General features: G+C 38.4%; 1 protein-coding gene and 1 long non-coding RNA gene across 17 annotated transcripts, besides 7 other annotated features; one reads left to right on the top strand and one right to left on the bottom strand.

Moving 5' to 3' along the window:
- On the bottom strand, positions 1–23,500 carry TIAL1 (TIA1 cytotoxic granule associated RNA binding protein like 1). Of its 16 annotated transcripts, XM_024448151.2 has the most exons (14): positions 22,970–23,500; positions 19,988–20,049; positions 18,512–18,653; positions 14,688–14,784; positions 8,995–9,144; positions 8,705–8,759; positions 8,458–8,545; positions 6,471–6,546; positions 5,262–5,370; positions 4,177–4,272; positions 3,987–4,071; positions 3,616–3,739; positions 3,147–3,286; positions 1–2,327 (listed from the first exon to the last, which is right to left on the bottom strand). In XM_024448151.2, exons 4-14 carry the CDS (start codon positions 14,697–14,699, stop codon positions 2,201–2,203), a joined length of 1,062 nt encoding a protein of 353 aa, XP_024303919.1. In that variant the 5' UTR covers positions 14,700–14,784; positions 18,512–18,653; positions 19,988–20,049; positions 22,970–23,500; the 3' UTR covers positions 1–2,200. The 16 variants fall into 16 exon arrangements, 12 of the variants coding, with proteins under 12 accessions (XP_024303919.1, NP_001310896.1, NP_001310893.1 ...); NM_001323967.2 differs by lacking the exons at positions 18,512–18,653; positions 19,988–20,049 and adding an exon at positions 7,007–7,074 and having other exon boundaries at positions 8,995–9,093; NM_001323964.2 differs by lacking the exons at positions 18,512–18,653; positions 19,988–20,049 and adding an exon at positions 7,007–7,382 and having other exon boundaries at positions 8,995–9,093.
- On the top strand, positions 22,100–26,342 carry LOC105378512 (uncharacterized). The gene is made up of 2 exons (XR_946358.3): positions 22,100–22,528; positions 23,150–26,342. It is a non-coding gene; the product is annotated as an uncharacterized LOC105378512 (long non-coding RNA).
- Positions 22,513–22,612: a silencer, noted in NCBI's record as "silent region_2878". NCBI's record gives its function as "represses an Ori minimal core promoter by ATAC-STARR-seq in GM12878 lymphoblastoid cells {active_cell/tissue: GM12878}" and the evidence as "EXISTENCE:reporter gene assay evidence [ECO:0000049][PMID:35858748]".
- Positions 22,731–23,729: an enhancer, noted in NCBI's record as "H3K27ac-H3K4me1 hESC enhancer chr10:121355707-121356705 (GRCh37/hg19 assembly coordinates)". NCBI's record gives its function as "activates a minimal SCP1, AML or CMV promoter by ChIP-STARR-seq in naive and primed H9 embryonic stem cells {active_cell/tissue: H9 hESC(naive and primed)}" and the evidence as "EXISTENCE:reporter gene assay evidence [ECO:0000049][PMID:30033119]".
- Positions 22,731–23,732: a biological region, named in NCBI's record as "H3K27ac-H3K4me1 hESC enhancer GRCh37_chr10:121355707-121356705".
- Positions 23,023–23,132: a silencer, noted in NCBI's record as "silent region_2879". NCBI's record gives its function as "represses an Ori minimal core promoter by ATAC-STARR-seq in GM12878 lymphoblastoid cells {active_cell/tissue: GM12878}" and the evidence as "EXISTENCE:reporter gene assay evidence [ECO:0000049][PMID:35858748]".
- Positions 23,143–23,732: an enhancer, noted in NCBI's record as "active region_4126". NCBI's record gives its function as "activates an Ori minimal core promoter by ATAC-STARR-seq in GM12878 lymphoblastoid cells {active_cell/tissue: GM12878}" and the evidence as "EXISTENCE:reporter gene assay evidence [ECO:0000049][PMID:35858748]".
- Positions 23,730–24,727: an enhancer, noted in NCBI's record as "H3K27ac-H3K4me1 hESC enhancer chr10:121356706-121357703 (GRCh37/hg19 assembly coordinates)". NCBI's record gives its function as "activates a minimal SCP1, AML or CMV promoter by ChIP-STARR-seq in naive H9 embryonic stem cells {active_cell/tissue: H9 hESC(naive)}" and the evidence as "EXISTENCE:reporter gene assay evidence [ECO:0000049][PMID:30033119]".
- Positions 24,623–24,712: an enhancer, noted in NCBI's record as "active region_4127". NCBI's record gives its function as "activates an Ori minimal core promoter by ATAC-STARR-seq in GM12878 lymphoblastoid cells {active_cell/tissue: GM12878}" and the evidence as "EXISTENCE:reporter gene assay evidence [ECO:0000049][PMID:35858748]".

Below are 27,642 nucleotides of genomic sequence, written 5' to 3' on the forward strand. Positions count from 1 at the left end.
TTTACTGTGGCAATATAACTAGTCTGGATAATTTTATTAAATCATAGAATATACAGTCAGGAAACACTACAGCTATATTTAGCTGTTAGTTATCTCAATAAGCTACTTAATTTACTGGCAGACCAAAACAGGCATACTAAGCATTTTTATCAATTAAAAAAAGTCTTCAGTTGTTCAAGTTTCACATATACTCATAAAATTTTTAACTCGGGGGCACAGTTAACATAATTTATTGAGTGTTCTCCCTATAAAATATAAATTAACTTTTCCAAAAACATTCCTCAAAGATACTATAAACAAAAGAAATAAGGGTATATTTTATAACAGAAGAGTGTAATAGATGACCATTATGGTAAAACTAAGGTGCCATAAAAAATTTGGCCCAGCTATGAATTTCAGACCCTATGAATTTTTATGTTGAATACATTTGGCTATATTGCTAAGTGGGAAAAGGAGGAAAGTAATACCAAAATTATTGTGACCACCAATTTATAAAATCATTATTTTAAAGCTAATCGTAAAACTTCAAATGTTTAGAAAACAGTAATTTGTGGGTACTAATCGCATCTTACTATGTAACTGTAAAAGGCTATTTTCTCTTTGGTGCCCAGGCCAGCATTTTGAATACATTGCCAAAACATTTGCACTCCCTAGCTCTGACAATTCAAATACATAGGATTTTATCTATTTTACATTCCTGTTTGATAGAAATTTGAGGCAAATTTTACCCACACAGCCTGAAAAATACCTTGAAAGCAAACCTCGGTCTTCTGCATCTTCCAATTGATTCCTTTACAAACTCTGCACACATACAACTTAAGCCTCTGCTCAGGCTTATTATACCATGCACACTGCCCACAAGGAAAAAAATTAATTGAAAATAAAAGCCACAACTCTGTGTACTATTTAAACTGAATATCCAATTATAAATTGGTACATTGAAGTGTCTAAATAAGATGTTTTTAGCAATCTTGTTAAAAAAATTCTTGGGCAAAATATATCTTAATTTTTAAAAACACCCCAAGATTTTTAAAAAACACTTGTACTATACAACTTATAGTAACCTTGAAATTGGTTTACAAGGTTTTAATCAAGGTATTTACATACCAAGTAATGTAAAGCAAAAAAAAAAAAAAAAAAAAACAAAAACAAAAAACTAATTCCCAATGACATTTTAGAACATACTAATGCATCAAAGATTGTATGAAATTAAAATTAAGGCTTTTTCTGCACAATTTGTGTAATTTTAATTTTACATAGTAGCCAACCTTGGAAATGTCAGTCTTAACATTCTGATCAATCCACTGCATTCAATGCAGCGGAGTGTGTTAAGTGTTACTTCAAATAATTACATTGCTGCTACTTCTATGTTGAAGCATGCTTTTTAAACACTGTAGTTATTGAATATTTACAATATGTATCATTTAAACTTCATGTAAAAGCACAAGTATGACTGTCTGACTTCAATACAAACACCATACTTGGATTTCCCCCCAAAATGAAATGTAAAATACTACAATTTTAATAATCGACACTTTTGGAAGTTTTAAAAATATGTCTTAACGTGGACCACCAACATTTGCTCAAGTAACTCAAACAATGCTGTTCCTTTTTTAGGGTGCAAAACTTCAGTCTGGCTTCAGTTTCTTTAGGCATAGAGAAAGAAAATATTTCCTCCAAAGCGACTCCAAAATCACGCATTTCTTCTGAATATCACACTTTTTCTCTGCTGACTTCAAATGTGGTCCACCTCAGGGAAGGGGAGGGGAGTATCAGGATTCAGGATGAACTTATATGTGATTCCCAGGTTTTCACGATCCTCCCTTTTTTGCTCTTTTAAAAACACAGTGAGTTAAAATACTGAACAGCAAGATAAAAATGGAATAGTATCTAAGAATCAAAATGTATTAGCCATTTTTCCTATTATATCAAAATTTGTAGTCAGAATTGTCTTTATTGACTTTATTTTAGTTTTTGTACATAAAGAAAAATCATGTTCATATCCATCATGAACAAAAACTTAAAAAGGCAGAACTAGAAGACACGTGTCCTTCACCAAAGCAAATCTGTGCTAAAGGTTCCAAACATTTCAATTTTTAAAATAAATATTTTCATTTTCCGATGTCTACTTTCATGTCTTCAGAGTGTCACAGGAAATCGAAGCCTATCATGAATTACAATTTTTTTTTAGAGTCCCGGCTCACTGTGTTTGGTAACTTGCCATACCATATCCGGCTTGGTTAGGAGGAGGTATTACAGGGGGAGGAGCTTGTCCTTGGGGAGGCTGAGCACCAAATCCACCCATCCAAGCAGCAGAAGGTGATTGACTTGGAAGAAAAAGAAAAAATCTTCAGCAAACACAAGAAAAAAAAAATCACATATGTATTTACACAAAAATCAAGCAGAGCCTAATCACAGAATAGAAAACCAGAAATCAACACACCTACAACAAATAGAAAGATCAAAGAAATAAATGATATATGTGTAGAATACATATTCCAGTATTAGTCTTTGATATTTTTAAGATAACCACAACTTAACACACTGATGTCTGAGGAGTATCTGCAAACTAATTTTTTAAAAATTGTGAATGATTCAACACATCATCTATTACATAAGAAATTTTAAAAACAAGTTCATGTTGGAAACAGTCTCAAAGGAAGAAATCTGAAAATAAAGCTATGGGCTGGCCCTGGGCAGGGGAATTACAAAGGAGGAAACCACTCTATCAACAAAAGAAAAAAAAAAAAAAAAAAGGCCAGTTACTTTGTATCACACAAACCTCAGATTTCTCACACATACCACATAGGCATAAAACCATCAAACTTTTGAATATATCTGGACAAAGATCTTTTACATGCAAAAATAAATAAAAGTGTATCAGAAATGTAAATCAAATTCTACCAACTGCTTACAGGGATCATAGGACACACTAAATGTTACCCCAATCCCCCCTTTCCACCTAGGTAATGAGAAGTAATTTCTTAGCCTCATAAATCATATTTTGTTAGATTAGTTTCTATAATGCTCATAATGCCAAATAGCTCAATGTATATAATTAAAATAGATTCTCCCTAGGAAAACACACTTTTATTTATTTTGTCAGAACCATACGTTTCTATACTGGAAAAACCCAAACAACTTACTCTACTCCAAATCCTTGTTGATTCCATGGTTGCCCGTATACTCCATAAGGCGGTACTTGCCACCCATTTGCCATATACTGTCCATACTGTTGTGGGTTTCCATACACTTGGCTCCATTGGCCCCATTGACTATAGTCAACCTAGGAAAAAGCAAAGTATTGTTTTAGGGAACACATAAGAAACACCGTATATGAAGAAAGAGTGGGAGACAAGGAAGAGAAAAACTAAGTAAGCACCCTTATGTGAATAGGACTCTGTTATTTATCATTGTCTAAGTTTATTGGGGTGGTGACACCTGTGAAAAGAAAGTATTAAGATTCAGTTAATACCGCAAATAATCAATTTTGAAATACAATCAACTGAAAGTAGCTATATGCTTTATTTTATTGTTCATTTTACAGAGTTTCCAAAGCTTTTATGTGACATGTAAGATGGAAACCTTAAAGAATGCTATGAAAAATCGAATTACCTGTTGGAAGTTTTTAGTCATATCAGGAGATTCTTTACCCCAATAGCATTTAACCACATGTCCTTCAATCGTAGTACCGTTCACCGAAACAATGGCATGGGCTGCACTTTCATGGGTTGAAAATCTAAGAAAGAAAAATGATATGGTTTTGTCTTTTATTTTTTAAGAACCTAACACAATAAATAACATGGAAACTCATCAGTTTACACCTGCAAGTTGGTATTTTTTTTCTAAAGTACATTAGGTAGGTAGCTTAAACTTCTATACTGCAAAGAAGCACTAAAATAACAAACACTGATACCCTGGAGAACATAAGTGAAAGGAATGAATCAAATATAAGAGTAATAATGATATTTCAAGTAGAGTGTTACCTGACAAATGAATAGCCCTTTTCTGGGAAAACTCTTATTTCCATAATTTGTCCAAATGGTGAGAATGTCTGTCTCATAAGCTGATCTATAAAACAAAACATACAAATAAAACATGGCTGATGTGTATCATGAAATTCATATGAACAGTGATGAAGCTCCTCAGAGGTGATTAGAAAACCAAACATTGTACCTGTTAACCCAGACGCAATTCCTCCACAGTACACAGTACAATTTTTTGGACTTGACTGGTTTACTACATCTTCAAATCTCAACTGCTTAGTGTTGTCTGTATGCAGAAACAAAACAAAAACGTTGACTGTTATATTGTACTATGAAACTCTTCTGTTAATTACTATATACTATTAAGATATGCCTCAGGCCGGGCACCCAGCACTTTGGGAGGCTGAGGTGGGCAGATCACCTGAGGTCAGGAGTTCGAGACCAGCCTGGCCAACATGACGAAATCCTGTCTCTACTAAAAATACAAAAATTAAGGCAGGGCACGGTGGCTCACGCCTGTAATCCCAGCACTTTGGGAGGCTGAGGCAGGTGGATCACGAGGTCACGAGTTCGAGACCAGCCTGACCAACACGGTGAAACCCTGTCTCTACTAAAAATACAAAAATTGGCTGGGTGTGGTGGCACACGCCTGTAATTCCAGCCACTCAGGAGGCTGAGGCAGGAGAATCGCTTGAACCTGCGAGGCGGAGGTTGCAGTGAACTGAGATCGCACCACTGTACTCCAGCCTGGGTGACAGAGCGAGACTCCACCTCAAAAAAAAAAAAAAAAAAAAAAAAAAGATATGCCTCAATGGGAGGAGAAAACATAATTTTTCTTGATGCTATGATTTGACACAGACTTGATCTATAAAATCAGGTGATTCACAGCTCCAAAAATACTTATACCACAGCCCAATTATTTTCAGATAATGAAATATAAAATGAAATAATTAGAGTCTTGCAACACTAATTAAATACTACGTCAGCCTGGACAACGTAACCAGACCCTGTCTCTATAAAAAAATTACAAATTAGCTGGGCATGGTGGCATGTCCCTGTAGTCTCAGTTACTCAGGAGGCTGAGGTGAAAGGATCACTTATACCCAGGAGTTTCAGGCTACAGTGAGCTAAGATCATGCCACCGCACTCCAGCCTGGGCAACAGAGCAAGACCCTGTCTCTTACATAAATAAATTAGAAATTGAGACTAGATGAATACATGATACATGATTTTGTGAAGAATATAATTTTAACACACACAGTGGACATATCTTACTTTCTTGTGTACTTTTAGGTGCAGGTGGTTTACGAGTGGCCCAATTGGTTCGGATTTGACGACCACCCAACCACTGACCGCCCATATGCACAATCGCATTTTCTGCATCCTATGGATAAAAAAGAAAGCACAATCACAAAGAAAAGAGTGATAAATAAGACTCTGTAAGATGAAATAAAATATCGGCGCTGCTGGTTCCATACAAATCAGTAGATGAATTTACTAAATATCCTAAACAAAACGAAACTGAACTATTACCAATTAGAAAACGATTTGAACTTGAGATTCAATCTAAGCAAAAACAGAATACTCTGGCCCTTTATCTTACCACTTCAATAAAATGTAGATGACCTGTAATCCCAGCACTTTGGGAGGCCAAGGCAGGAGGATCACTTGAGATCAGAAGTTTGAGACTAGCCTGGCGAACCCAAGTGAAACCATGTCTCTACCAAAAATATAAAAATGAGCTGGGTGTGGTGGCACATGCTTGTAATCCCAGCTACTCAGGAGGCTGAGGCAGCGCGATCGCTTGAACCCGGGAGGTGGAGGTTGCAGTGGGCTGAGATGGCACCACTGGACTCCAGCCTGGGCAACAGAGCGAGACTCTATCTCAAAAAAACAAAACAAAACAAAACAAAACATTGATTTAAGTTATTGAAACTGCTTTAAAATCAAAGCCCACTTTATTATTTAATGTTACAGTTAATGCAAATGCTTACTTTGGTACCCCTTTTACAAAGAATATATGCAAAAATCAAGATGAATTGCTTAAATTTTTATTTACATAATTTGTTGTAGTCATTCACATCCCAGTTATATAAGAGTATGAATAATAATTTAAAAGGTAGAGTTAAAACTGAGATTTTCATGGTTAAAACTGAATATAATTTACCTAACCTCTAAATTCTCAGATTAGCTCATCTGTCCTAGACTTGGGCTTTACTTCTAAATCCATCTGACCTTTACCAATGTACAAACACAATTTTAATAATCTTCCTTATAGTATAATCATTCTTTTTCTAGCTATTTATTTTCGAGTTTATGAAAGAGGAATGAAATTATACTCTATTATTAAAACATACATAACATTACATAAAAGTTGTGTTTGTAGTTAACATTCAAGTATATTCAAGTTTCAGATTCAATACATTAAGTAACTAATGACTAAATTTAGTATTAAAAAATATAAATTGAGATGGAAGAACGTACCAGTTTGTTATAAAAAGATACAAAACCATAGCCTTTGGATTTTCCAGTTGCCATGTCTTTAACTACCCGGGCATCCCTGTGAAAAGAAGCACAGCTAAATGAGGGAAGTAAGAGCCACCCTCAAAATAAAAACTAAAAGGAACCACACACACTGTATTGTGAGCATTTTTAAAATAAAATTCCAGTTAGCCCTAATTAACTACAACCATTCCTGAACTCTCCCTAATGCTTCTTTACCTGTTAGAAAAAAGCAGTAGGACAAAAACATGTAATAAACATGCAACCTAATCAAATAGCCTGTGCTTTCTAAACTAAATGCTCAAATTTGAAGATTAATAGGAACAACAGTTTCCCTTTCTAATATTCTATTTACTAGTGTCCTCTAAGGTTTACTGATTCTATAAATTACTGTAACAATACTAACTACTTTACCATGCAATCTCTAAATAGTTAAATGTCTTCTGCCTAGTGATACAAAATATATGAAATATTAAAAAATTGAAAAAGAGGAAAAAATAGGAATTAAAAAGGCATACATGGCCTGTTAACAGATTTCTTTATTTTTCTTGGTCAATTCTCTACCATCATTTTGGAGTTTGGGCAGCTGTAAATTTTGAAAAATTGACATTTTCAGAAATTTAAGAAAGGAGAATAAAAAACTAACAACAATGCTAAGCACACCAGTACGAAAACAACAAATTTACACAGAAATTTTAGTGAGTAAGTTAAATGATTGGAAATATAGAACTCCACTGAATATAGAATGTTAAAATGTAAATACTAAAATATGTATATATAAATAATGTATAATAAGAATAAATAGAAATGAGAAAAAAAATCTACAACTGAGTTCCAGTGTGCACAGTTCCTTGCAGTTAGCCTTCAAGATCCTGTCCATTCTTATGAGCAATTCTGCAAAATAACCAGAATGCTATTACTTTTAATTGTGACTTGGACTTAAGAAAAACTGCAGGTCTCAGGTATAAATAAAGATTGAAAAACAGCAACCTGTATTATTTTTATATTGATTTTTAAAATAGTACTACTTACCACATTTAGATTAAAAAGCAAAGCAAATATCAAAACAGAAAGTTAAGAATTACATCTTTTAAAGAAATTAAATCTATAGAACAACAAATTGTATAGAGAAAATATTGTTGTTCTTAGTTGAAACACTTTCCTGTAAAGTAGTACTAAGATGTTTAATTTAAATCTACAGGAAATATACAAAATAAACTGATTTTAATCAGAAAGATAAATTATGATAAACATTTTCTACAATTCATAACCATTTTTAGTTTTCCAATATATTTTTTACCAAGTAACAACAGTAAAATCTGAGCATAAATTTGTTAAAAATCAAACCACATTTGCCTCTTAACTAGTAGAATCAAATATCACTAACAAAAACATCTAATTAATCCCACATTTATGACTCATACATTGAAACATTTTAATAGTATAATAGTACTTTTCACTTATAGCTAAAATATCAAAAACACATTTATCATAATAAAACATGAACATTTCCAATTTAATCACAATATATCCAAGGATTTACCTACTCTCCCCCATTTATAAATTCCTCCTATAAAAGTTATTGAACTCTTACACAGTATAGATCACATTTACTTTTGATTAACTCATTATCCTAAACCATCAAATTTTGAAAACATATGACAAAAAGCTAGACTTTATAAGTTTTACCATTCAAACATCTGCTTCAAAGATAACAAACAGAATCACTTAAATTTTTTTTAACATATTATACACAGGATTAGATGAAAACGAGACCCCAAGACACTGAAATGACATTAACATTTTCAACAACATCCACTACTCAAAACAAACCAAAATAAATAAATGAAAAATAAGAAACAAAACAAAACCATACTAACTAGAGAAAGAAAATCTTAATTCAATTACAAGTTAATCATATACAATTCTGCCTATCATGACTGAGTGTAGTACTGATTATGATACTTACGATATTTTACCAAAGGGGGCAAATGCTGATTTGATATCTTCTGTTGTAATTTCTGGACTCAAATCCCCAACAAACACATGGAAGTGATCTGAAATCAGAGCATTTGGTAATCAAATACTTAAGAAGTCAGCCACTAAAACCTTTTTAAGGCAACTCTAGAGGAGGAAAAAAAAACCTATTTAAGCTGGTAATGCCTCCTGGATAATTTCAGAACTCTTCCACAGTAAAATGCAGCAGGAGTACTTACTGGAAGTATCTTTTTTCTGGCTACTTGGTGTGGTTGCCCAGTTTACTTTGACCTCCTAAAAATAAAGATTATATTTAATAAAATTATTAGGCATGTCATGAGTTACAACACTTACCACTTATTAAATCATTTATCAAGCAGGGTTATTTTTGTAAAAGCACTAAGCTGAATAAAGCAAAACCATCACTCAGCAGCCGAATATCTGCTCAAAAATTTGCCTAGAAAGAATACAAACTAGTTTGACATGCAAATATATGTACTCATAAGGTGCCATCATCCTATTATCTTACCTTTCCCAAAATTTTTCTCCCATTCATAGCAGCTAATGCAGCAGCTGCATCTCTGTGTTCATAAAATTCCACAAAGCAATATGGGTCATTGCTTGTATGCTGCAAAACAGAAAATCCAACAGAAGAGTTGACCCTTCTGCTATCGGGTTGCTGAGAAGAAAATCCAGGAAAAAACATTACTGATAGCTGGGAATATACAAGGTGAGACTGCATAAGCTTATGAAAGCCTAACACTTTTTAAATAAGATTTAAAGCTAAACCTGACTTTGCACCTCAGAATACTGCTGAACTCAAACGGAACTATAAAAGCAGTTGTAGAATCATGAGCATCAGTATTAAATGAAAATAAAGAATTCTGGTGAAGTGTGTTAAATATAAAATAGAAGATTATATTAAACCAAACAAAACCTCAAACTCAGATCTGATGAGGACCACTCCTTACCACTACTTTCCTTCTCCAATATTATTTTTAAATTACGTTCTACTTATGCATCATAATCCTCTATAAGTGGTATCCCAGGATACAGAAATACAGCAAGAACCAACTTCATAAACTACTGATCAAAATTAGGATCAATACTACAAATGATGGAATTCTATGCTGCTACAAAGACTGAATTTTATTGATTTCTTTTCTGGATATGGAAAGAATGAAAATAAAAACAAGAAAACTTAAGCTTTATAACCAGCTACTGAAATGAATTCCCTACCTTCCAAAATAGTCTAATGTACTGAAGATTCTATATACTTTGAATTTGGTCTTCCAAAGATCAGAGAAATAACAGTGGTGATCAAGAAAAGAGGTTCTGAAAATGTATCTGAATAAAATATTCCAAGACAAAGCTATAAGTTTACATCATAAGAACACCATATAAAAAATCTATATTAAATATATTCTGCAACCCTGTGCTTGACAGTAGTTACCTAAAACACATTTATAAAGATGTGAAGAAAGTAGTACTACCTAAGCTATAGCAACATTCTCACCTGACAACCAAACTAGAAATGAATTTCTATGAAACTGCAACCTGTACTGAATAGCTGCACAACTGTACAAATACATATTTTTATGTAAGGCTAAAAACATTCATCATTATTCAATGTAAAATGCCCTATAAGAATAATATTTAAAATGTGGAATTCTAGTTGGACTTACAAGGGATAAATATACCAGATAAAATAAAGATCTTTTCAACCACAACAGTTTTTCATTCCAGGAAAGTTTTAGAAGAAAAATCCAAAATAAGACGTCTAAACAATAGTGGCAAAGGAACCAGAAGGCATTTCCTTGAGGGAAAAAAAGTGGGATCGTTAATACTGACAACAAAACTATGGGCTCTCATACAAAATCCTACTGTTGTAGCCACGTGAATGCTGTTCTTAAGAGGTAAAGAAAGGAAATGGGGGAAGACTTCAAATGAAAACACACATTTAAATTCTTGTAAAAGAGTTATTACATTTACCATAAATATTCATTGAAGAAAGGACATCAAAATAAATAAGAGGCTAAAATTGTGCTAGTTGAGTTTTCCTTTCACTCCTATCTCTTTTGCCCCAATGGTCTCTAAGGAAAACACTGATAATCACAGCAAAACATACAGGGGTCCAACAGCAGATCTATGATAATCCCATACACTTTAGGAAACTAGTCTACTCGTGAATACCAATTTCAAATCTATCTAATAGTAGGCCAGCTCCCAATCAATGTATGCACGTGCATGTATATATACACATATATTCACTGACATCACATATTTTATATATTCACATCACACTGCATATCATCTAATTTAAGACACCACTTATTTCTAAGTCACATCCCAACTGTCAGATATTAAAATTCTAAAAAAATTTGACTTAGAATCAATAATATATATTTGTATTATATAAGGAAAGCTAGAATCTATGATAACAACATCTAAAGTAAAAAAAAAATCATAAAACTATGGGGGAAAAAGGATTTTTCACATACTGAAATGAAATTTATGAAAGAAAAATAAATAGCTGCTAGATACTCTGCTAGAGTTTATACCCTCTGGAAGCTTCTTATTTACACCACCAAGTGACATCCTAAAAATCAATTATGGGCTGGGTGCAGTGGCTCACACCTGTAATCCCAGCACTTTGGAAGGCTGAGGCAGCTGGATCACTTGAGGTCAGGAGTTCGAGACCAGCCTGACCAACATGGTGAGACCCCCATCTCTACCAAAAATACAAAAAATTAGCTGGGTGTGGTGGCGGGCGCCTGTAATCCCAGCTACTCAGGAGGCTGAGGCAGGAGAATCGTTTGAACCTGGGAGGCAGAGGTTGCAGTGAGCCAAGATCGTGCCACTGCACTCCAGCCCGGGCAACAGAGCCAGACTCTGTCTCAAAAAAAAGTGCTCACGCCTGTAACCCAAGCACTTTGGGAGGGCGAGGTGGGCGGTTCACGAGGTCAGAAGATCAAGACCATCCTGGCTAATATGGTGAAACCTTGTCTCTATTAAAAATACAAAAAATAAAAAAATAAAAAATATTAGCTGGGCATGATGGCACGCACCTGTAGTCCCAGCTACTTGGGAGGCTGAGGCAGGAGAATCACTTGAACCCAGGAGGCCAAGGCTGCAGTGAGCCGAGATCATGCCATTGCACTCCAGCCTGGGCAAAAGAGCAAGATTCCATCTCAAAAAAAAAAAAAAAAAAAAAAAATCAATTATGGCTGGGTGCAGTGTCTCATGCCTATAATCTCAGCACTTTAGGAGGATGAGGCAGAGGCAGGAGGATCACTTGAGCCTAGGAGTTTAGGACCAGCCAGAAGTTCGGGACCATTGGTAACATGGTGAAACCAATCTCTACAAACACATTTAAAAATGAACTAGGTGTGGCGGTGCTGTCCCAGCTACTTGGGAGACTGAGGTGGGAGGATCACTTGAACCCAGGAGGTGGAGGCTGCAGTGAGCCATGATGGCGCCACTGCACTCCAGCCTGGAGGACAGAGTCAGACCCTGTCTCTTAAAAAAAAAAAAAAAAAATCCGTTATGTCCCTACCTTATTTAGCGTTGTCACCAATTTTTGTTGGATGACATAAATGTCAAGACAGAGAAATATGAGACTTTACAAGCTCAAATCTAGGAGTTCTAGAATATGGATGTTATGAAAATTCATTTCGAGTCCCTCTACCCTTCAAATAGCTGTATGTATACATGGGGTTTTAAAAAATAGTTAAAATAAATCTTTACAAATGTTTCTCAAAAATTTTCTAGTGAGTCTTTCCCCACTTTCTCACAACCCGTTCTCTCCTAAACCTACTTCTGTCAGCTTCCAAGCTAACCATGCCACTGAAACTGCATGTTGAGCTCAACAATGACCTCTCTGCTGCTTCTGTGATTCCTTTTCCATCCTAATCTTTACTTCCAAGCAGAATTCACTACAGTTGACCACCATCCTCCTTTAAACATTCTCTTCTGTCTCCTACCACACTCTGGTTTTCCTGTTTCCTCACTGTAGGATCTTTCTTCCCTTACTCAAACTCTAAATGTTGAGCTTGTCCAGGGCTCAGACCTCACGGCCTCTGTGCTCTTCTTTACCATCATTCTCTCTCTGTGAACTCATCTAGTCCCATGGCTTCATGGATTCAAATACCACTGCAAGCTTCAGCACCGGTCTCTCTAGAGTTGCAAACTACTTTATCCAACTGCCTAATCTAACGTCCACTTTGATGTCTAATTCATGTCTTAAATCTAACATCCAAAACACAATTTCTGATTCCCACCACTCCCCATGGTGACATCCATCAGGTCACCCCCACTTTAGCAAATAAATAGCATTACCAACTATACAACTGCATTAACATGAATCTTAGGGTATTTCCTGATTTCTTCCTTTCCCTATGTCCCACAGCCAACCCAGTCCTATCAATTCTACCTCCAAAATATATTCCAAATCTATCAACCTCTGTCCTTATCTTGACTTCGGCTAGCACTTTCGAGAATAAGCCTCCATCATCTCTTACCTAGACTAGTGAAGTAAATCCAGATGGTTTTTCTCCTTCTGCTCTTGCCCGCTACAATCTATTCTCCATAAAACAGTCATTCTCTACATAGAGTAGTAAGCTTAAATATGCAAATCTTGGCACCTCATCCCCCTGCTTAAGCCCCTCCACTGGTCTGCCACAGCAATCAGAGTAAAACCTAAACTATGTCATGGACCATAATGTCCTGTGATTCTGAATCCTGCTGTTAGACTCATTTCCCTTAACTCCCCTCCATCCCTCACCAGACTCTAGCCATCGGTCTTTGATTCCACAAACACAAGTTCATTACCAACTCAAGACTTGTATTTGCTGTTTCCTCTGCCTCCAGCTCTTACCATAGATAGCACCATCTTGTTATTCATCTCAGCTCAAAGAGGTGACATCTCTCATCACCTAGCCTATATAGCACCAACCCTCCAATCATCACAGAACTCTGTTTTATTCTCTTCATGGCTTACATCCCTATTTGCTTGGGAAACTCATTTGGCTGTCTCTCCATTATATCTCCAGTACCTTGTATAGTGCCTAGTGCAAAGGAAATTTTTGATCGATGAAAGCACAAATAAATAATTAAAGGCAGGAAGGAAAAATATAATACACCAGAACAAAATGATGATTGTCATTACTTGGGAAAGACAATCAAAAGGCCAATGCACTTTAAAGGTTTTTAACAGTTCTCCGTTTCAGGATAAAACAAACTCTTTAGCACAGTTTCTAGCCCTTTCCATAAACTCCTGCCATCTCTTACGACTAATTCCATTTTAACTACAACCATGCTACGGGTTCTATTTTTCCCTCTCTGTCTCAAGCACTCCTGCTCTCCCTACCAACCTGGATCAAAGTTCCCTTTATTTGGAATCCCTTCTTCCCTCAATTCCTTTCTAGCCAGTATGTACTACTATCCTTTCAAGGTTTCCGCCTAGGCAGTGAGTCCTCCAAGAAGCCGCTCACTGACCTAAGGCTGCACTGGATACACATTTGCTCCCACAGCACTTTAAGTTGTCTGCTTCTAGAGCATTTATTATCCTACTTCCTAAGTGCCTGCTAACTCCTTTGTCTCCCTACTAAACTGTAAAATTCTCTGGGCCAAGGAACTATCTTTATTCACCAGTGTATCTCTAGCACTTACTGCAGTATCTAGTACATAGGAAATAGTCCAAAAAAAAAAAAGAAAGCTGATCAATGAACAAAAACACAAGGAAGAAAAGCCTAAAACATGACTAATTGGGTGCTGCTACAGTCTTAGCAGGAAAGTATAAAAAGGTAAGTATTTGCTACAGACACACGAGACGAACGGTGCTGCACACTACACACATAATAACTTCGTGTTCTCGCACATGAACACATGCTGTCTAAATCGTTAACATTCTTATTGGAATTGTATGAAATACTTTCCAATTTTTCACCATTCTGAAATGAGCTCTAATAATGTTCTGAAAGCAGAATCACTTCAAGATAACCACACCATGAAGAATGACCGTTTGAGCTTAACAGCACGGAAACTTTGCCCTCTTAAATAAAACTCCATTCTAAGCCTAGTTTGTCAGCCAAATCAAAGTAATAAGTCAACACAACACAAATCTCTCCACCAGAATAACTTGAGGCTTACAATGAAATTTTAAAATCATGCTAATCAACCCATCATGCTAATTGTCAGCACATGGAACTGGGAAGATCTTACCTCTGTTATCATTTTACAGCTTTTACAGGGTCCAATCTGACTGAACAACTGAAGTATAAGGACTTCTGTCACATCTCTGGAAAGGTTACCTACGTATCTGCACAAGAAAAAAATACGTTATCAGCAATTTTTCCTTTAGCTCTGGCTCTAATGTGTTATCATCTAATTCATCACCTTTTCTTTCTTTCTTTCTTTCTTTCTTTTTTTTTTAGATGGAGTTTTGCTCTTGTTGCCCAGGCTGGAGTGCAATGGCATGATCTCAGCTCACTGCAACTTCCGCCTCCCAGATTCAAACGATTTTCCTGTCTCAGCCTCCCAAGTAGCTGGGATTACAGGCGCATGCCACCATGCCTGGCTAATTTTTGTATTCTTAGTAGAGACAGGGTTTCATCGTATTGGTCAGGCTGGTCTTGAACTCCTGACCTCAGGTGATCTGTCCGCCTTGGCCTCCCAAAGTGCTGGAATTACAAGCGTGAGCCACTGCGCCCGGCCACCTTTTATTTCATTTTAACTTCCTCTGTTTTCAACAAAATTTCTCCAATTAAACCTGATCCTATGAAAGTAAGATTAACCCTTATTTAGGAAAGCAACAATTGTTCTTAGGCCACTAAAATACCACTCTGAAAGACATTTAAAGAACAAATCAATGTGATCTTGTATACCCCAATGGCATTATTATTCTGTACCCTGGATATCATTTTCTCATCTTATTCTAATTGTTAAAATTTTAAACTGGTCTCAAGATAACTACAATTTCTAATTAAAAATAATTTATAACACACACACACATACAACAAATACTAATTCATTAAAACATCTGATTGTAATAGGATATTAAACATAAAGTGAGTTTATCTTAGATTCCCAACCAAAGCAATTACATGAACAAAGAACAGAATTAAAGTTATAGTAAAACATACAGAGGGTGGAGGGTTTTTGTTGTTTTGTTTTTGGCTGAGTAAGGTTGTTTGCAATGATGTCTTCACTGTTTCATTTTAGGAGAGCAGGGTAAAATATAAAATTTCCTAGTCTAAAATGCATCAGAATCAACAAAATATATATGTATTTTTTTGAGATGGAGTCTCACTCTGTCACCCAGGCTGGAGTGCAGTGGCATGATCTCAGCTCACTGCAACCTCCGCCTCCCAGGTTCAAGCGATTCTCCTGCCTCAGCCTCCCAGGTAGCTGGGACTACAGGCGTGCACCACCACGCCCGGCTAATTTTTGTATTTTTAGTAGAGACGGGGTTTCACCATGTTGGCCTGGCTGGTCTCAAACTCCTAACCTCAAGTGATCCACCTGCCTGAGTCTCCCAAAGTGCTGGGATTACAGGAGTGAGCCACCATGCCCAGCCAACAAAATATATCTTAATGTAGATAAAAAAGCTAATACAAAGATTTCTTAAGAAATTCAGAGAAAAACTAAGACAAATCCAGGCATACTTTTGACTATGGACACTTAAAAATTTGGGTTTTTTTTCCTAATTACAATTGAATGTGTTTTGTGTAAAAGATTTTAAATACAGGAAAGTTTAAAAAAGAAAAGAAAAAAATGCTACTTCATCACACAGAGAGGACCACCTTGGTTTATGTCTTGTACTATGGATTTATCTTAATTTATCTAAATAAATTGCCAAACACTAAAGTCTTTCTGGTATTCTACACATAATTCCTCAAATTTGCATCTGTTATGAACAACCTCATAAACCAAACAATATCTGTAAAATTTAACAAAGTTCATTCTGGAAAGTAGATTTCTTTTTCTACTTGTAATATATTACATCTGGAAACTGAGTATTAAGACCAAAATAAGACTTGCAACATAGCTGCCACATTAAATACACAACATGCTTTAAGATGGAATACTCAAAGGGAAAAATAGACTGAGAAAGCTTAGGTTAAGTAAAAAACTTAAAAGATCCAATTAAGAATTAGTAGCGATTTTCCAGTTAAGAATTTTATTGCAATGAGTACTAATAATCTTAGTGTACCTGCTCTAAAATTGAAACACACATCCAATATTACCTAACTAGAGGACTAAACAAGTGACAAACTGTTTTACGTCCACTATGCCACCTTTTCCACGTAATTAAGGAGCTGATCCATCAGCAGGCCAATGTAGTGACATACTTTTTCCAGCAGGACTAAAAGGTTATTGGGTTATGAGCCAGCGATAGGCTGCTTGCCCCTTCTTAACTCATAGGGGTTTGTGAGCCTGTATCTCTGAAATGATTTCTTTTTGTACAGAGTAGACCTATCTGTAAGAAAAATGAACAAGTGACCAGGCATGGTGGCTCACGCCTGTAATCCCAGCACTTTGGGAGGCTATGGCAGGCGGATCATGAGGTCAGGAGTTTGAGACCAGCCTGACCAACATGGTGAAACCCTGTCTCCACAAAAAATACAAAAATTAGCCGGGCATGGTGGCGCGCACCTATAATCCCAGCTACTCGGGAGGCCGAGGCAGGAGAATCGCTTGAACCTGGGAGGCAGAGGTTGCAGTGAGCCGAGATTGCACCATTGCACTCCAACCTGGGCGACAGAGTGAGACTCCATCTCAAAAAAATAAATAAAAAAGAAAGAGAGAAAGAGAGAGAGACAGAGAGAAAGAGAGAAAGAAAGAAAGAAAGAAAGAAAGAAAGAAAGAAAGAAAGAAAGAAAGAAAGAAAGAAACGAACAAGTGATCTTGAGCTTCTAAACATTATGCTCCTTGCCTAAAGGGCTAGTTAGCTCACTTCTAAGAGAAAAGAAGGATGGATAAAACTGGTTTTCACATATTGAAGCTAGCTAATAACAAAATTAAAATAGAATTATCATTTTAATATAACACATTTTAAATGATTTAAATAGTTTTAAATTTCCATTACTGTTTAAACATCAATTTCTTCAGGAAAAACTGTATTGGAATTAGTTACCTTCTATATCTAATAGTCACAAAAAAAGCCGTCACTGCTTAATAAGATCTTTATTCCACCAGGTGTGGTGGCTCACACCTGTAATCCTAACACTCTGGGAAGCCGAGGCAGGTGGATCACTTGAGGTCAGGAGTTCAAGACCAGCCTGGCCAACATGGTGAAACCCCGTCTCTACTAAAAACACAAAAAATTAGCCAGGCATGGTGGCGGGCACCTGTAATCCCAGCTACTTGGGGGAGGCTGAGGCAGGAGAATCACTTGAACCCGGGAGGTGGAGGTTGCAGTGGGCTGAGATCGCGCCATGGCACTCCAGCCTGGGCAACAAGAGCGAAACTCCATCTGAAAAAAAAAAAAAAATCTTTATTCTAAGTCAACCTATTTCCCGCCAGTTACAGATCTTGAAGAATTTCTAGAGGCATATTTAGATATATTAATTTACATTTCTAGCACTGAAAGCAAAGATGAAAACGTTAATATCTAAGTTTAGAATGTCATGAAATATTTATTTAAAAATCCAGTATTAAGGTTTCCTATTTTTCAAATTATCTCCACTAAAAGTTAAATGTTAAGCAGCAAACTAAATTTCAAAAACTAACATGAAAGGCCTTCCATAACAACACATACAATATCTTAATTTACCAGGATTAAAAGGCCATGATTCACTATATAATTTCACCTAAACTTTACCCAAATTTCAGACTGCCTTTTCTTTTACTGAGTTCTTGTACCCAAATTTCAGATTGCCTCTTCATTTACATTTGCCTTCGTGCATCATAACACTTGAGAGACGTATTGTATAGCTTTTAAAATACTGTACTATTCTATTTTAAGTACTTTTACAGTATCATAAAATAATCTGTCCCAAAGTAAATACTAACAAAAATATTTAAGACAAAGTTCAATGCCTGACCTAGTAAGATCATCTCTTGGTAGTTCATTGAAATGACATCTTTATTCGTTCCAAATTATAGCTTCTACACTTCACTTTCTTTCTGCTCTGGTTATGAAATAGTCAAGCTAAAGATCCAAGTCTTTAAATATATAATTGCTACCTAAAGAACATACACAAAATAACAGAAAAAAGATAAATGGCTCTAATTTTTGTATTGAGAGGTCAATTCAAAGAGTAAACACTTAGGAAATTCCAAAATGATTTTTAACTCAACGAAAAAATTCAGAAGAGGCATACCTTAGAGTCTATTTTGTCTTCTAAGAACAGGAACTGTAGGAACTGAAGCATTAAAAACTGAAAATGACACCTTTATCTCTAATATCAGGGTTAAAATCCAATTTGGGGCTAAAAACTTAGCAGTTTCACAGTAGGCAGAAATTCACATTGCCAAACTACTTCCTGTGTCCGACTGGGCAGAATTTTAAGTTAAGAATATCATGCCTTTCAGAAGACTAATGACACTTTTTCAACACTGAATGTGCTCTCACTCTGAAAAGAGTAGCCCTACCAAGGCTGAAATTATCAGCACTTTCACACAAAAAACTATAGCTAAATTTCCATAATAGTTTTGCTTTTGTTCTTGACAAGTCCTATACAAGAAGAGATTTTGCAATAATATCCTTCAATAGATCTCTAATTAATTGTTCAATTTGTCGGTACAGTATTTCATTTTAGGAAGGAGGCATGATGGAAGATAGCTGCAGGAGGTACAACTAAATTGACCAACTATATATATGAGATATTCTCACACACACACACACACACACACACTCACTCTCTCTCTCTTACTTTAAAGAAACAAAGAATATGATTAAGTTGAATTTGAATGAGGGGCTTGATTATAGCCACAGTATAGCCAAATCCATGGTATAGCCAGTCAATTTTGTAATAGTTTATAGAATTTTCTTCTGCTTTGTTCTTAGATGTTCAGATTATACTCTAAATCATTAGCTTATTTCCAGGAAGAAAGAATAGCCTTAAAGGAAGGGATTGTGTAACATGGTATTACACGAATTCCTAGCAATTTTGGTGCATCCGATAGATGAAGAAAATAAAATAAGCTACAATAAAACACTATTACAATTTAGTGTCATATTGTAGATTCAGATATACCATGGATCAAATCACTGCACTACAAAGATACACACAACCCAAGCCTGAAATGTGTGTCCCACAAGGCAGGTGTCAGACAGTCCAGTTCCAACACCAGTATTACACAGCATGATCTTGTTTGTTTTTTTAGATCACAAGTTACTCAATGCATAATACCCCAAAATAAATGTCAAATGAGAATGAAGAACATCAGAAAACAGACCTTTAAAGCAACTATATGACAAATAGAAATTTAGGCTCAACATCAAAGCAATTCTTGCCACTTTAAATACCATCAAATAAATTAGTAATACTGTAGGTAATGAATATTTAAAGACCTACCTAGGCTCTAAACACCATATTGTTTTCTGAAGATAGAACCATATGTCTTAGCTTGTGTGTGTCTGCAGGAAAAAAACCTCACTAGTAACACACAGGCATCTTAAGGAAACAATTTAAGATAAGCTTTGTTAAGAACACATTCTTTTAAAACATACTGGCCACTTGAAAAACCTAATCCATAGCTCACAATGTAAAATATAAGATCTCCATAAACAAAAAACCCTACTAGATATCAACGTCTAAAATCATGTTCAGTTTTCATCATGTTACTTATATCTAATAGAACCCTTTGAGAATATGTAAAACGTACACTTAGAAAAACTATGCATTATTTGTATTAAACTCTAATAAAAATCCCAATTGTTAAACATTTGCTTTTATCTCAAGATTTTACATTTGAAGGTTTTAAAAAATATATAAAAGTCAACAGACTGCACCACATGTGACAGTAATGTCTGCCTACAATCTTAGTTCAACCAGGACTTTTAAAAAAGAACTTAATACTAATTTAATGAAAGAAGTATAATCACTGTAGAAATTCTGAGTACCTCTTATGTTCCAGGCAGTGAACTAAGTGCTGTGGGGGTAAGACCTAGGAAGATGTAGTAGTCCTTCTCTTAAAAAAAAAAAAAGGCCCTATGGAAAAGGGTGGGAGAAGGAAAAAGGAAGACAGAATAGTAAACACGTACTGACATACAAAACAACAGAGTTAAGATGTTTATTTATTCATATGAACATGTCACAGTTTTAGAGAACTGTAAACATAGACAACTTAACTGTTTCAAAGAAAGAACAAGAGATTAGAGAAGGTAGAGGAAGGAAATAAGTGACAAAGAAGTTAGCTTATTATTCCCCTGGAGAAACTCTGATAGGGATGAAGGCAAGGCAGATGCAAAGATAAATAAAAGACATCAAAAAAGCACATTCTTTAGCACTACAAAACCAGAGATTCCTCTTGGTAAGGAACAGATACAGTAAATGAGACCCCTGCCATGAGTATTTATCAATCATTCAGTGTGTGATGATACTTCAGATTTTTAGATACAATGTAACTTTTATCTTTGTTAAATACATGTTAGCTAGTCTTTAAGCCTAGCTTTCCCAGATGCTTATATCAAAGTACACATTGTAACTCAACACCAAGTCTTGGCTTCAACAGATGTTGAAGGATAAAATTTTTTTTTTAATTGTTTAGACGAACTCTCGCTCTGTCACCAGTCTGGAGTGCAGTGGTGCAATCTCGGCTCACTGCAACCTCTGCCTCCTGGGTTCAAGTGATTCTCCTGCCTCAGCCTCCCAAGTAGCAGGGACTACAGGCGCGCGCCACCACGCCCAGCTAATTTTTGTGTTTTTTGTAGAGACGGAGTTTCACCGTGTTGGCCAGGAAGGTCTCGATCTCTTGACCTCGTGATCCGCCCACCTCGGCCTCCCAAAGTGCTGGGATTACAGGCGTGAGCCACTGCGCCCGGCCTGAAGGACAAATTTCAAGTGTGTCCCAATTCTTTCTTCTAGGGAGAGAAGGCAGAAATGGAAGACAACACAAAACACAAAGACGTTCTATTAAGCAGGCGTTTCATTGAAGCATTGGATGTGCTTCAGTAGGCCTCAGATTCTCAAAACGGGACGGATACTTCAGTGAGACGTTAGAGAACACATTTATTCCTGTACAAGGCCACACCAAAAAAATCTCTATCAATACTGAACATCTATCTTCTTTACTGAGCATCCTTTCTTTGGTAGGAGTGAAGAGATGTGAAGCTAGTCAAACTTCTCGAGTGCCCCTCCACCTTCATCTATTCCCTAAAAAGCAATTTCCCCATCAGAGAGCAGAGCCAAGTGGACTATGATCCTATCAATACCAGGAGAGGCAAGAGAAACAAAGCAGCGATCTGACTCCTTGGTACTCAAGGTAGGAGTGCTAGACCTGGAGAGGCCGGGAAATTAGGGTGCCCAATTTAAACATTTAATTAAAAAGTATTCAGACTTAAAAAAAAAAAAAAAGATGCAGAGAAAAGGAGTGCCACACTATTCAGAAAGGAATGCAAATGCTGAGTCATCACTCTTCATTGGAAAGGAAGGAAACCAGAATTAAGTGGTTGGAAGATGGAATTCATTCATTAGATTGAGCTTCAGGTAAAAAGCAACAGCAAGACAGGAGAAAAAGCGTTCAGAAGACACACATCAAATAGCGGATGAAGACATAATTTTAGCCAACTCTGAAGCTTTCGACGCACAAACAGATTAGGAAGAGGCAACACCTAGAGAGCAAAAGGAGTTTAACAACTGGTTGTCAGTTTAGCGTAGGGAGCGCTCAAAGTAAACTTCTTTATCCAAGAAGGGAAAGATGCTCGGGCAGCAAAAGGTATCCCTTATGTACTTCAAAAGTAGCGGGCGCTAGGCGGGTGTTTCTGACAGCGTGGGCGGGGGCACGTGGGGCATAAAGAGAGAAGGGGCTTGAGTGGTGAAAGAGTGTCCTGCTTCCTCCGAGAGCTTAGCTGGGGAGAAGAGCTGGGAGCGACTCGAGCTGAGGACGTGGAAGGGGTGAGTGCTAATTCCTCAGGGCCCGCGGGGCCCACCCCCGGGCCCACCCCCAATCCTACCCCCGCCAGGCCCTTCCCCCGTGGGCGCCGGCAGCTCCAGGCCCAGCCCAGGGCGTCCAACGCGGAGGGGGTGCAGGAGTTCTCCTGGGCCTGACAGCCTCAGCCGTGCAGAAACCCGGCCTAGGGAGGGCATGCAAAGAAGGACGCCAGAGAAAAAGGTCGAGACAAGCCCCAGACCCCAGGAAGTGACTGTTTGGGGGAAGGGAGGATTTCCTTCCCAAGGAAAAGGGGACAGATGAGGAATGCACTTCGCGTCCACGCCGCCCTGGTCAGGGAGCCGCCTAGAGTCCCGGCTTCGGCCCAGTCTCTCCTGCTCCCTCCCTTAGCGTCCCGCGGTGCCCGGGCCTCTTGGCGCCTGGCACCCCTCGTCTCGGGTACTCACAGAGTCCGGGGCTGCCCGTCGTCTTCCATCATGGTGGGTGCGACGGAGCGATCCCGGGACAAGGGGGAGGGCAGGGTTGGGGAGGGGAGGGGGTGGGGAGGAAGGGGAGGGGGGCTCTGGGCACCGGCTGGGGACAGAGGAAAAGGCACCGAACCCTGCTCTCGGGCTCTCTCCCCCCAGCCCGCTCCGGACACTGCGCTCCAACCAGGAGGAGCAGGAGGAGGAGGAGGATGAACAAAATGGCCGCCGCCACCAGCCAGGCAGGAAACAGGGCAGAGCGCAGGCGCGACCCGCCAGGTCACCGCTCAGGCCAGCCGCGACAGCCTGCAAGGGGGACGACCGAGGGGAGAGAAAAAAGGGCCGCCGAGGAAACCCTGGGACCCGCTCACGACGGATCACGTCGTCGCTGTGGGCCTCTGGCCGGCCGAAGCCCAGCCAGCTCCGGGAGAGATCGGGCAAAAAGAGAAACGTCGTGAAGCCGAAGTCTCTGGGAATTGTGGTCCTGGAAATGAGAGAGGGAAGCACTTCTGCAGAGGACTTCTGGAACCTGTGGTTAAGAGGAGCCGCCGGCGCCCACCCGCGCTGGGACGTGAAGAGGAGACTTCTGGGTAGTGTAGTCATACGTGAGGACGTGCGACGACCAGGAAGTCGGCGGGCTGGGAGGTAAAGGGAAGAATAAAAGCGACATTGAAAGGCGGGGAGACCAAGTGGGGAAAAGCGCTGTCTGGGAAAGCGAACTACAAGTCCCAGAGTTCCTCGCGCCGGGGGCTGTCCTCGGACTGCTCCAGGCATTGTAAGGCTCTTCTGTTGGCCCAGTCTGAGCTGCTGCTCCGCCTTCGTCCAGCCCGAGAGCGGTTTCTTCAACTGTGGCTCAGGCAGCACTCTCCCTCCGCGTGGTGTCCGAGCCAGCAGGGCCGTCCGGCCCTCCTGTGTTCATCAGAACGGCTGGCTCGCGTTAGTCAACCGCCGCTTCGCGCGACAGTCAGAAGAGAGGCTGTGCTGGCGGGGACCCGGAGGGGTTGGGGTGTTTTGGGGACTCGATTTCCCACAAATAGGTATTTCTAGCCTATTTGTTAAATACAAGTAGGTGGCCTGCTTGTAAATTGCTTTACAAGTTTCAGAGGTTTCCCTATCAAATGTCTCATCGGATAGTGGGGTAAGAAGAGGAGCCCTATTATAATGACTTGCCCAACTCCCCCCGTATTCTTGGAGTTAAAAGAAAAAAAAATCCTTGGGCAGAGACGTGCACAAACATAAAGTTGCGTTTACAGACATCAGTCATGTGGGCTAGAAACGCAGTTTTGCATGAAGATAGGGGAAGCCATGTTCATACTAGCTCTGCATCCCTGTAGAATTTGTCTTCTCACCCCCCACAACAGTTCCTGGTGTGCTTTTTTCCTCCTCTAAGTACCTTCAGGAGAAAGTACTTGGTCTTGTAGCTTAGTGAAGAGTGGCGATGAAGAAAGATCTTTCAGCCCATTGCCAGAACTTAACTGCCCCGGTTAGTAATGGCTTAAGAGTTGCTTCTGCCGACATGTACTAAGTGCATGTCGACCTCTGCAAGTGGCGGTGCGTATGCGTGCCACTGAACATTAATCTTGAAAGCAGAATCAACCATGCAGCAAGCCCTTATGTTGTCCATTTTCAGGGGAGGAAATTTCAACCTGAAAGACTTCATAGAGACACGGCAAAGGAGTTGAGCCCCATAAGAGTCCGTAGGAACAACAAAAGGCTCAGACGCCAGGACCCATGGCTAAAATGTATGGGCTGGGGATGCGGGCGGGAGCGGGGGGAAGGGAACTAAAGCTAGAGAGGACCTTGTAGAACCGTGTTGTCAAGAATCTATTTCATGCTGAGGAATTTGAGCTTTCTCTTCCAGGCAGTGAGGAGCCACTCAAAGGTTTTGTCTATGTTTTTAATTGGACCTAGGTGTAGAACTGGATTTAATTATAATCCAATTCATTAACCCATGCCTGGCCCGCTGTGATAGTTTCCTGTTGATGCTGTAACAAATTACTGCAAATTTAGATACTTAAAACAACACGAATTTATTTTCTTACAATTCTGGAAGTCAGAAGTCCAAAATCAGTTACACTGGGCTAAAATCAAGGTGTCGGCAGGGCTGGTTCCTTGCCTTTTCCAGCTTCTAGAGGCTGCCTGCATTCCTTGGCTCTTGGCCCCATCCTCCATCTTCAAGAAAAGAAGCATAGTATCTTCTTTCTTCTCTGCCTCTGTACGTACATCGTGATTCTCCTGCCACCCCTTTTCATTTACGAGAACCTTTTGTGATTACTTTGGGCGAAGATTATCTCAAGATTCTTAATCACATCTGCAAAGTCCCTTTTAGCATAACATTCCCAAATTCTGGGAATTAGGACATAGAAATCTTTGGTGGACCATTATTCAGTTTACCGCACCCACCTTTATTACTTTAGTTTTGATTATAGCCACAAACCCACCACACTAAAAAGTTATAATGACACGAGTTTATATCTGTATCTATGCTATACCTCCTACACACAATAACACACACCCCTGCCTTCGCTTGGGGTAACCATCTTTCTGAATCCTGTCTTTACTATTTATTGCTTTCCTTCTACAAGGTTTTATTCCACATGTACATAGTCCTAAAAATCATATGTATATACATGTATATTTGAGTTTTTTTTTAACTTAGTAAAAAGAATATGCCCACTACAAACTAGAATGGTTAAAATGGGCATGTTTACTGGCAGTGAAATTATTAAGGTTAAAATCCAAAACACTAACACCACCAAGTGCTGGTGAGTATGAAAAGCAACAGGAACTATCATTCTTTGCTGGTAGGACTGCAAAATGTTATAGCCCCTTTGGAGGACAGCTTGTCAGTTCCTTACAAAACTAAACATAATGCCTAGGTACTTACCCAAATGAGCTGAAAACATGTTTACATAAAAACCTGCACACAAATGTTTACAGCAGCTTTGTTCATAATCATCCCAAATTGGAAGCAACTAAGATGTCCTTGATATAAGTGAATGGATAAACTGTCGTACAAGGTGGTACATCCATGCAAAGAAATATTGTTCAGTGATTTTTTTAAAAAGAGCTATTGATATGGTTTGGCTCTGTATCCCCACCCAATCTGATCTTGAATTGTACTCCCATAATTCCCACGTGTTGTGGGAGGGACCTGGTGGGAGATAATTTGAATCCTGGGGGCAGTTTCCCCCAGACTGTTCTTGTGGTAGTGAATAAGTCTCACGAGATCTGATGGTTTTATCAGGGGTTTCCGCTTTTGCATCATCCTCATTTTCTCTTGCTGCCACCATGATTCTGAGGCCTTCCCAGCCATGTGGAACTCTAAGTCCAATTAAACCTCTTTTTCTTCCCAGTCTGGGGTATGTCTTTATCAGCAGTGTGAAAACAGACTAATACAGCTCTCAAGCTACAAAAAGACATGGAGGAATGTTAAATGTACAGCACCAAGAGAAGCCCAGTGGAAAAGGCTGTAAACGCTACAACTTTAACTATATGACACTCTGGAAAGGGCAAAACTCAGTGGTTCCCTGGGCATCAGGGAAGGAGAGAGGGATGAATAGGTGGAACACAGGTCATTTTTACTGGTAGTGAAATTATTCAGTATGATACTCTCATAGTGGATACATGACCTTATGCATTTGTCAAAACCCATAGAACTGTGCCACACAAAGTGAGTCCTAATGTAAACTATGGACTTCAGTTAATCATAATGTATCAATAGTTGTTCCTCAGTTGTACATTTGTTGGAATTGATGAACCAATATTGATACATTGTGATTAACTGAAGTTTATATATCAATTATGAATTGATATACTTGTTAACACTAATATAAAACAGTAATAACAGGGGAAACTATGTTTGTAATGGGAGAGAGGGCACATGGGAACTCTGTACTTCATGCACAATTTTTCTATAAACCTAATACTGCTCTCAAAAGTCTATTACAAAGGAAAAAATTATGTCCTTGTAATCTTTTGAGACTGCTTTTCACTTAATTAACACACATAAGATTCAGCCATATTTTATGGCTATCATTCATTCAGACTATTATATGATATTCCAGTGTATAAATATACTACATTTGTCTGATTTCTCATTAATGGATATTTGGGTTGCTTCCAGGTTTTTATACTGTGAATAATGCTGCTATGAACATTCTTTTTTTTTTTTTTAACCTTTCTTTATTTTTATTTTTTTTTTTGTTTTTGAGATGGAGTCTTGCTCTGTCATCCATCTAGAGTGCAGTGGTGCAATCTCGGCTCACTGCAACCTCCGCCTCCCGCATTCAAGCGATTCTCCTGCCTCAGCCTCCTGAGTAGCTGAGACTACAGGTGCCCGCCACCACTCCTGGCTAATTTTTGTATTTTTAGTAAAGACGAGGTTTCACCATGTTGCCCAGGGTGGTCTTGAACTCCTGACCTCAGGTGATCCACCCGCCTTGGCCTCCCAAAGTGCTGGGATTACAGGTGTGAGCCACCACGCCCAGCCAGCTATGAACATTCTTGTGTCTCCTGTGATAGATGTGGAAGAGCCTTTCACCCCTCAGCCATTAGACCACCAGGGAGTGCAAGAGCTTTTCTTTGATCTATTTGGATCTATACCTAAAAGTGAAATTGTCAGGTAACAGGGTATATGAACACTCCATTTTGGT

This window comes from Homo sapiens, chromosome 10 (genome assembly GCF_000001405.40).
Source record: "Homo sapiens chromosome 10, GRCh38.p14 Primary Assembly".
NCBI classification, from domain to species: Eukaryota; Metazoa; Chordata; class Mammalia; order Primates; family Hominidae; genus Homo; species Homo sapiens.